The 9,545-nt window shown below is 46.9% G+C and overlaps 1 protein-coding gene across 7 annotated transcripts in view, besides 5 other annotated features; it reads left to right on the top strand.

The window, feature by feature from the left end:
* Nucleotides 1–9,545, top strand: part of BRWD1 (bromodomain and WD repeat domain containing 1) — a 137,037-nt gene that overhangs the window by 7,318 nt on the left and 120,174 nt on the right. For 6 of the 7 annotated variants that reach the window (XM_011529611.2, NM_018963.5, NM_033656.4 and 3 more), the window contains exons 1-4: nt 263–452; nt 596–654; nt 794–823; nt 995–1,054. In XM_011529611.2, the coding sequence (XP_011527913.1) occupies nt 404–452; nt 596–654; nt 794–823; nt 995–1,054 (198 nt within the window). In that variant the 5' untranslated portion in view covers nt 263–403. Of the gene's footprint in view, nt 1–262; nt 453–595; nt 655–793; nt 824–994; nt 1,055–9,545 lie in introns of those variants that run through there. The other variant, XM_017028373.2, reaches the window with a different exon arrangement.
* Nucleotides 200–309: a silencer, noted in NCBI's record as "silent region_13325". NCBI's record gives its function as "represses an Ori minimal core promoter by ATAC-STARR-seq in GM12878 lymphoblastoid cells {active_cell/tissue: GM12878}" and the evidence as "EXISTENCE:reporter gene assay evidence [ECO:0000049][PMID:35858748]".
* Nucleotides 380–439: a silencer, noted in NCBI's record as "silent region_13324". NCBI's record gives its function as "represses an Ori minimal core promoter by ATAC-STARR-seq in GM12878 lymphoblastoid cells {active_cell/tissue: GM12878}" and the evidence as "EXISTENCE:reporter gene assay evidence [ECO:0000049][PMID:35858748]".
* Nucleotides 550–799: a silencer, noted in NCBI's record as "silent region_13323". NCBI's record gives its function as "represses an Ori minimal core promoter by ATAC-STARR-seq in GM12878 lymphoblastoid cells {active_cell/tissue: GM12878}" and the evidence as "EXISTENCE:reporter gene assay evidence [ECO:0000049][PMID:35858748]".
* Nucleotides 990–1,069: a silencer, noted in NCBI's record as "silent region_13322". NCBI's record gives its function as "represses an Ori minimal core promoter by ATAC-STARR-seq in GM12878 lymphoblastoid cells {active_cell/tissue: GM12878}" and the evidence as "EXISTENCE:reporter gene assay evidence [ECO:0000049][PMID:35858748]".
* Nucleotides 1,090–1,489: a silencer, noted in NCBI's record as "silent region_13321". NCBI's record gives its function as "represses an Ori minimal core promoter by ATAC-STARR-seq in GM12878 lymphoblastoid cells {active_cell/tissue: GM12878}" and the evidence as "EXISTENCE:reporter gene assay evidence [ECO:0000049][PMID:35858748]".

Raw genomic sequence — 9,545 nt, 5'->3', positions numbered from 1 at the left:
CCGGGCAGCCGCCTCATTGCGCGCAGGGATTCGGACCACGCGCCCTCCCCTCCCCCACTCGCTGCTGCGGCGCCCAGGTCTTTGCCTCCGCGTCACTTTCTCCTCATCGAGTCCCCGGAGGCAGAGAGCTGAGCGAGGTTCGCCTCCCCGGGCGGGACACGAGCTCCGGTCCTCTCTTGGCGCAAACCCCCGCCCCCCGCGGAGGGACTACTTTTCGTCTCCCGCGGAGGAACTACTTCCTCCCCCGCGGAGGCGTCGGTCCAGGCGGCGCGCACGGTATGGCGGCGGCGGCGGCGGCGGCGGCGCGCGCCTGAGAAGAGGGGACGCCAGCCCGGTCAGGCCTCGGCGCGGCCTACACGCTCCGCTCGCTCGCTCGCTCCCGCCTCCCGCCCCGCGCCCGGCCATGGCGGAGCCGTCGTCCGCCCGACGCCCGGTGCCTCTCATCGAGTCGGGTAAGACGCGAGGCCGTGCCACCCCCGCCCTGGCGCTCCCGGCTGCTTCGGCTTCCCCGGCTCCCCGGGCTCCCCCGGCTCCCCTGGCCCCGTCCCCCTCCCCTCCCCGCCGGGGCTTGACCTGACTCCTTGTCTTCCCGCAGAGCTGTACTTCCTTATCGCCCGGTACCTATCGGCGGGCCCGTGTCGGAGAGCGGCCCAGGTGAGTGCGGGCCCGCGGGCGGCTGCGGACTTGGCGTCCCCAGTGTCCCCGCCGCCGGGGGTCGCGGGTGGTGGGCGGGGGTGAAACGGGAGCGCCCCGGGCCCGACCCCACCCCTGACCGCGCGTCTCTCGGCCGCAGGTGCTGGTGCAGGAGCTGGAGCAGTACCAGGTCTGTGCGCGCCCGTCCCCGCGCTCCCTCGGGTTCCTCCTGCCGACCTTGCCCTGAGGGATGCTCGCCCGCGCCCCCCGCCCGCCGCCCGCCGCCCGCCCCCGGCCCCCCGCCCCCCGCCCCCCCCGCGCCGGAGGGGTGGTCACTCGTGTGCGTTTCGTGTCTTTCCAGTTGTTGCCGAAGAGATTGGACTGGGAGGGCAACGAGCACAACAGGAGCTACGAGGAGTTGGTGAGCATTGGGCACGTTTGCTCCCCGGGTTTTCCGTGCACCGCCCCCCGCCCCCGCCCCTTCCCCTCGCGGGGACCCCGGCCCGTGGGGTGCAAAGTGTGACCCGCACTGGGGGGCGGCCCGGGGATAGCTGCGTTCCCGGCTGAAGATTTTGTTTTGTTTTTGAGGCGGCCAGGTTTGTTTTGGCAGGAAACAGTCATTGGGGGCGGCGCGGGGCGGAGCGGTGGGGGCGACTCGCGGAGGTCCTGCGGCAGGGGTGGGGCTCCAGGTGCGGCCGCCTCTGCGGGGGTGTGGCGTGCGCAGCCAGCCATTCAACTGGGCGGTTTCATTCGCTTCCCCGCTCCACCGCGCTTGTAACTCGCGCTCTGATTGGCCTCGCTGCTCTTGCCCCGCCCGGGTCTGTCCCCCCACTTGTTCCCTAGGAATAGAATCATTGGTCTCTGAAGGTGGAGAAATGTTCTTGTGTTGAGCTTTTTATTTTTTGTTTTGTCAGCAGCGTCATAAAAATCTTGCAGCTGTATGAATATGCCACTGTAGTGCTTGTGCTCCTTTCTACTGTACAATATTTGTTGAACGCAGTAGTTGATTGATGAGTTTCACACTGATCTTGTAGATAACACAATAAAGTGCTTTAAATAGGCACTTTTCTTTTGAGCTCGGTTAATCTTGCATTACAGTCTCATTTCTTTTGTGAACTTGGTTAATGTTTCTATATAACTTGCTTTTATCTATAGTTACAGCAGTTGCAGGGATTCGTTTGTTTTTACTGGAGACATTTTTCAGGAATATATTTTTGCCGTTTCGTTATTAGGATAAAGGAATTCATTAATTGCCAGGCCATATTCAGCATCTTGTATAAGGAAAACAATTGAGAAAGAAAAGAGCTTCTGAGTGATCTTTTACCACAGTTGGAAGACCTGTAACACTTGAGTGGTAGAGTATGGTGGCAAGTGAAAAGAAGAAAAAAAAGTGGTAGAAGATTACTGGTTTTGAATTAGACAACAGAAGAGACCAGAGGATGTGTTATTTCCATGAACAGTTAACACTTGAAGCCTGGTGCAAGTAATAAATAATTTTAATATTTGCTTTCTTAGATTTTGAAGTAAACACTTTAACAGTGGATGTTTTCAAGGGAATGAGTTCTAAAAATTCTGATGGCAATGTGTTGAGTTTGACATTTTGAGATAGTTTATTTTTGTAAACGTTGAGGAAACATTTAAAGGATGCCCTCTTTTAGTTTTCTTCACGGATAATATAGCCTTATCGGTGAAGCGGAAAAGCATTACTGGTTATGACGCTGTTGTCGTGCTACCTGAGAGAAAATAACTTGAAACAAATGTAGTGCTGTAACTACTGGAAAAGTTACTTTTAAAATACATTTATAGGGGCTGGGTGCAGTGGCTCATGGCTGCAATCTCAGCACATTAGGAGGCCGAGGTGGGAGGATCACTTGAGGCCAGGAGTTCAGACCAACTCTTGTCTCCACAAAGAATAAGTAACAGAAAATTAGGCGGCTGTGGTGGTGCGTGCCTGTAGTCCCAGCTATTTCGGAGGCTGAGGCGGAAGGATCACTTGACTCTGGGAGTTTGAGGCTGCATTGAACTATCCTCCTGCCACTGCATTCCAGCCTGGGAGATGGAGCAAGGCCTAGTTTCTTTTTTTTAAAAAAAAAATTTATATAAATTTTTTGGCTTTTGTTGGTAGAATTGCTTAAAACCCTACTTACTATTGTTTAAAATCACTTAAATTCTGTGATAATATGGCTGTGATTTGGCTATGACATATGGCATCTATCATTGCCTCCCTGATTTGGTCTGTCTGGTGGGTGTCCTTTCTTTTTTTACCTTCCTCTCTGCCCTCCAGTCCCCCAGGACTGAGTGATGATGAGCCTCATGTGTAGAGAATTATTCTTTTGTTAATGGTATATGTATCGTTTCTAAACTTTCAAAGTCTTTTAAAAATACCTTATTAAGAAGTATTCCAGGCCAGCTGCGGTGCTAACACCTGTAATCCCAGCACTTTGGCAGGACGCTTGAGGCCAGGAGTTCTAGACCTGCCTAAAGTGAGGTTGAGGATGTAGTGAGCCCTGATCAAGCCACTGTGCTCCAGCCTAGGTGAGCGAGACCCTGTCTCGAAACGCAACAACAAAAAAGAAGTATTTCAGATGTACACAAATGAGAATAATGTAATGCACCGCTGTATATCATCAAATTTGAATAATAATAATTTTTTTTTTTGAGACAGTCTGTTTTGAGGAGCAGCCTCGGCTCACTGCAACCTCTGCCTCCTGGGTTCAAGTGATCCTCCTGCCTCAGCCTCCTCAGTAGCTGGGATTACAGGCACCTGGCTAATTTTTGTATTTTTAGTAGAGATGGGGTTTCACCCTGTTGGCCAGGCTGGTCTCGAACTCCTGACTTCAGGTGATCTGCCTGCCTCTGTGTCCCAAAGTGCTGGGATTACAGGCACCTGGCTAATTTTTATATTTTTAGTGGAGAAGGGGTTTCACCATGTTGGCCAGGCTGGTCTTGAACTCCTAACTTCAGGTGATCTGCCCGCCTCTGTGTCCCAAAGTGCTGGGATTACAGGCGTGAGCCACTGCGCCTGGCCAACAAATTTGAATTTTGAAAGTTACTAACTTGCTATATTTACTTTGGTTTCTGTTTGAGGTATACATATGTTTTAAGAAACTATCAATGGACATCTTCAAACAAAAATAATAGAATAAATGACCCACCCACTAGGTGCCCATTTTCCAACTTCAGTGATTATCAGAGAATGTTGCATATTGTCTGCTCCCTTGTTTTTAAGCAAATTCCAGAAAGCCATTCATTTCACTGGTTAATGTGTTGGAATGTTTTAAGGCAGATTCCAGACACTACATTTCATCTCTAAGTTTGTCAGAGTTCATCTCTAAAAAATAAGGACTGCTTATTATATCATCAAGTGCCAATATCACAGAGTCCATATCCAGATTTTCTTTTTGTTCCCTGGGTGTCTTTTTTTTTTTTTTTTTTTTGAGACGGAGTCTCGCTCTGTCGCCCAGGCTGGAGTGCAGCGGTGCGATCTCGGCTCACTGCAAGCTCCGCCTCCCGGATTCACGCCATTCTCCAGCCTCAGCCTCCCGAGTAGCTGGGACTACAGGCGTCCGCCACCACGCCCGGCTAATTTTTCTGTATTTTTAGTAGAGGCGGGGTTTCACTGTGTTAGCCAGGATGGTCTCGATCTCCTGACCTCATGATCCGCCTGCCTCTGCCTCCCAAAGTGCTGGGATTACAGGCGTGAGCCACCGCGCCCGGCCTCCCTGGGTGTCTTTTTACAATTAGTTTGATTTGGTCTTGAGAAAGGTCCATACATGCATTGACTGATTGATTCTCTCCCCGCCCCACCCTGGGTCTCACTCTATTACCCAGGCTGGGGTGCAGTGGTGTGATCACAGCTCACTGAAGCCTCCATTTCCCAGGCTCAAGCAATCTTCCCACCTCAGCCCTCCACCTCCTGAGTAGCTGGGACCACAGGCATGTGCCACCACACCTGGCTAAGTTTTTTTTTTTTCCCCTAGAGAAAAAGACTCGCTATGTTGTCCAGGCTGGTCTCAAATGCTCCTCCCAAAGTTGGAATTACAGGTGTGAGCCACCACACCTTCCCTGATTTTTGTTTTGTTTTTTTTTGAGATGGAGTCTCACTCTGTCGCCAGGCTGGAGTGCAGTGGTGTGATCTCGGCTCACTGCAACCTCTGCCTCCCGGGTTCAAGCGATTTGCCTGCTTCAGCCTCCCAAGTAGCTGGGACTACAGGCGCACACCACTATGCCCAGCTAATTTTCGTAGTTTTAGTAGAGACGGCTGTTCACCATGTGGGCCAGGATGGTCTCCATCTCTTGACCTTGTGACCTGCCCGCCTCGGCCTCCCAAAGTGCTGGGATTATAGGTGTGACTCACCGCATCCTGCCCCTTCCCTGATTATCTTAAATCTCTTTTTATCTTGAATAGTCTTGTTTCTATGCCATTGATTTACTGGAGACCAAATCATTTATCCTGTAGAATGTTTTACATTCTGTATTTGTCTTATTGTTCCTTATGATGGTAACTTGTTCCTTTTTCTTAGTGGTTTTCATCTTCAGATGAGAATCATCTGGGGAGCTTTATAAAATCTGGTTGCCCAGAGTATGCCCCAAACCAGTTAAATCAGAATCTTTGTGGTGGGACTGGACATCAGTATTTTAAAAAGCTTTTTAGATGATTCTAGTATTAGTGTTTGTAAAGCCACAATTTATCTTAAACTTGTGACCATGCTGTTATTCCAACCTGTATTTGGGGGCAAGAGTATTTTTGGTACTTTTGCTTTTTTTTTTTTTTTTTTTTGAGACAAGGTGTCATTCTGTTGCCCAGGCTGGAGTGCAGTGGTATAATCTTGGCTGACTGCAACCTCTGCCTCACAGGTTCATGCAGTTCTCCTGCCTCAGCCTCCTGAGTAGCTGGGATTACAGACATGTACCACTATGCCTGGCTACTTTTTGTGTTTTTAGTAGAGACGGGGTTTCACCATGTTGGCCCGGCTAGTCTCGAACTCCTGACCTTCAGTGATCCACCTGCATTGGCCTCCCAAAGTGCTGGGATTACAGGCATGAGTCACCTTGCCAGGCCTACTTTTGCTTCTTATAAGAATTGAAGCCAAGTGTGGTGGCTAAGGCTACACAGAGACTTGAGAGTCTGAGGTGGGAGGATCACTTGGTGCCAGGGGTTTGAGAGCAGCCTGGGCAACATAAGCAACACCTCATCTGTAGAAAAAAAGTTTACAAAACCTTGGTTTACAGGTGTGAGCCTCCGTGTCCAGCTCCCAAGTTTCTAGTCTCTACCTGCACTGCTATATTGCTAGACTGTAGCTCATCAATCACACTACCATGATCATTAAGTGTCCCCAAGTTACAAATGAAATACCTATAGAATGATAGATCTCTATAGTCAAGGACAATACAGAATCTATAGAGGAAAGAAATTAGCTACCCTCAGGATGGAAGGGTCTTTTAGAGTTCCACTGTGAAAATTAAATGATAATGGGATTAGTTTCAAGACTTGTGGGAAATACAAAATTGTAAAAGAGGTTTTTGTTTTAAAGGGGTTTTACTATTAAAAAAGGCTCAGCCTAAGACTTAAAGTATCTGGCAGTGCACCCAAGTTCCAAGTCATAGCCTATAATCTTCTATCATAACCTGATTCCTTAATCCTGTAGAGTACTTAAAATGGTAATACCAGTCTCCTCCCAGTTTGGGTAATTAAGTCATAACCCAGGAAGGTTAACAAGCGAAGATGAAGAAAAAGGAAAGTACAAATGTATTCACACAAGTATATATACATATAATATGTGCAATATATACATACAAACATATATACATAAAATATATACATATAATACATTGATATTCATACAAGTACATATTCTGATGTAGTAACAAGTTTTGTAATTACTGAGTTACATTTATTTGTTTGATAGAGTAAAAAAAATTACAAAATAAATTTGAAATCTATTTACAAGTTTAGTCTTAGAAAATTCATGGTTAGGTTTGTCTAAGTTAACCCTGCTGAGGTGATTAAAATAACTGTACGCTTCTAAGTGTAGTGAAAAATGCCCAAGGAAATTTGATTAAATGTGTAAGTGGTATAAAATATTTTATGATTAAATTTTCAATTATAACCAGGCTCAGTGGCTCACACCTGTCATCCCAGCACTTTAGGAGGCTGAGGCAGGTGGATCACCTGAGGTCAGGAGTTCAAGACCAGCCTGGCCAACAGGGTGAAACCCCGTCTCTACTAAAAATACAAAACTTAGCCGGGCGTGGTGGCAGGTGCCTGTAATCCCAGCTACTTGGGAGGCTGAGGCAGGAGAATCACTTGAACCCAGGAGGCAGAGGTTGCAATGGTCTGAGATCAAGCCATTGCACTCCGGCCTAGGCAACAAGAGCAAAACTCCATCTCAAAATAAATAAACAAATTTTCAATTATCAATTAAACAGTAACCAAAGAATAAAAGTAACTATTTGTTTCTGGATTTATAAATAAGATTTGTACTTGAAGGTTTAAGAAAAATGACTACTTGCAATTCTAATAAACCAAATTCTGATTTCAGTATAAATAACTTTTAAGTCTGTTCCTCACACAAAAGGACTACTCCAATATATTTCTTTAAATCTTAATGAGTTTTCTAATGATACACTAAATATAAGGATCTTCTGGTATTTTTTCCGGTCAAAGAAAATGGCCCACAAAAATGTAACACATTATTCAATTATTAAGTCTCTTAATCTCTTTCCCTTTAAATAAACCCCTCTACAAACCTAGTCCTTCCGAATTCTTAGGCTCAGTTCTGTAGTTATATTTCCTTCCTCCTCTGTCTTTACCACTCGTATACATGAAAATTACAATTAAATAACATGGATTTGACAGGCCCAATGCAGGGTGAGATATTTAAAGATATCTAGGCCAGGTGCGGTGGCTCACACTTGTAATCCCAGCACTTGGGGAGGCTGAGGCGGGTGGATCACAAGGTCAAGAGATCGAGACCATCCTGGCCAACATGGTGAAACCTCATCTCTACTAAAAATACAAAAAATTAGCCAGACGTGGTGGCGGGCGCCTGTAGTCCCAGCTACTCGGGAGGCTGAGGCAGGAGAATCACTTGAACCCGGGAAGCAGAGGTTGCAGTGAGCCAAGATTGCACCACTGCACTCCAGCCTGGTGACAGAGTGAGACTCGGTCTCAAAAAAAAAAAAAAAAGATACTTAAAGATAACTAGTCTCAATTCTTTGTTTTTTGAGTTTGGGTCTCTTGTTGTCCAGGCTGGACTGCAGTGACCCAATAATGAATGGCTCACTGCAGCGTCAAACTCCTGGGCACAGGTGATCCTCCCGATTCAGTGTCCCAAGTAGCTGGGACTACAGGAGGGCGCAGCCACACCCCGATAAGGTTTTTTTTTTTTTTTTCTTTTTGAGACAGTCTTGCACCGTCGCCAGGCTGGAGTGCAGTGGCGCAGTCTTGGCTCACTGCAACCTCCGCCTCCTGGGTTCAAGTGATTCTCCTGCCTCAGCCCTCCTGAGTAGCTGGGACTACAGGCACATGCCACCATGCCCAGCTAATTCTTGAATTTTTAGTAGAGACAGGGTTTCACCGTGTTGGCCAGGATGGTCTCTATCTCTTGACCTTGTGATCCACCCACCTCAGCCTCCCAAAGTGCTGGAATTACAGGTGTGAGCCACTGCACCAGGCCTAATTTTTGTATTTTTAGTAGAGATGGGATTTCACCATAATGGTCAGGCTGGTGTCTCAAACTCCTGACCTCAGGTGATCCACCGACCTTGGCCTCCCAAAGTGCTGGGATTACAGGTGTGAACTACTGTGCCTGGCTGGCTGTGCTACCTTAAAAGAGAGTAGTTACTAGTTTCCATAGGCTCACCCAACAAGAAGAAGTTATTTGTATCTAAGGGATAAAAGTTGAGTGACTTGTTTATTTTCAGATCATATGTATCCTTATGGATTTTTGCAAGCTTACTGTATTGATTCCTGAGAAAGATTTGTTAAAATCTCCAACTACGGCCAGATGTGGTGGCTCACGCATGTAATCCCAACACTTTAGGGGGCCAAGGCGGGCAGATCACTTGAGGTCAGGAGTTCAAGACCAGCCTGATCAACCTTGTGAAACCCGTCTCTACTATAAATAGAAAAATTAGCCAGGCATGGTGGTACATGCCTGTAGTCCCAGCTACTTGGGAGGTTGAGGCAGGAGAATTGCTTGAATCCAAGAGGCGGAGGTTACAGTGAGCGGAGATTGTGCCACTGCACTCCAGCCTGGGCGACAGAGCAAGACTCCATCTCAAAAAAAAAAAAAAAAAAAATCTCCAAATATGACTGTGGATTTGTTGCTCTTTTTGTCCTTTTTTGAAGCTGTTATTAGGTACATTCAAATTTAGGATTTTTGTTTTCCTATTGAATTGACCTTAAATATTAGAAAATGCTTTATTCATTATAATCTTCTTGTCTTCCCATCTGCTTTGCCTTACATTAATATAGCCACACCAACTTCTTTTGGTTAGCAATGGCACAGTGTATCTTTTTCTGTCCTTTTCCTTTCAACCTTTTTGTGTTCACATGTTTAAAGTTTATCTCCCGTAAACAGCGTGTAGTTTTATGTGCATTCTTTTAGTGATGTTTTGGTCATTTGTATTTTTTTTTTGTTTTCCAGACAAGTTCTCACTTTGTTGCCCAGGGTGGAGTGCAGTGGCATGATCATGGCACACTGCAGCTTTGACCTCCTGGGTTCAAGGGATCCTCCTGCCTCAGCCTCCTGAGTAGCTGAGTCTATACGTGTATGCCATCATGGCCGGCTAATTAAAAAAAATTTTTTTTTCTAGAGACTGTCTCACTATATGGCCTAGGCTCATCTTGAACTCTTGGACTCAGGCAGTCCTCCCGCCTTGGCTTCCCAAAGTGCTGGGATTATAGG

Source organism: Homo sapiens, chromosome 21, assembly GCF_000001405.40.
Source record: "Homo sapiens chromosome 21, GRCh38.p14 Primary Assembly".
Classification (NCBI taxonomy): Eukaryota; Metazoa; Chordata; class Mammalia; order Primates; family Hominidae; genus Homo; species Homo sapiens.
The sequence above is the reverse complement of the archived record's forward strand: the minus strand, read 5'-3'. Positions and strand labels throughout refer to the sequence as shown.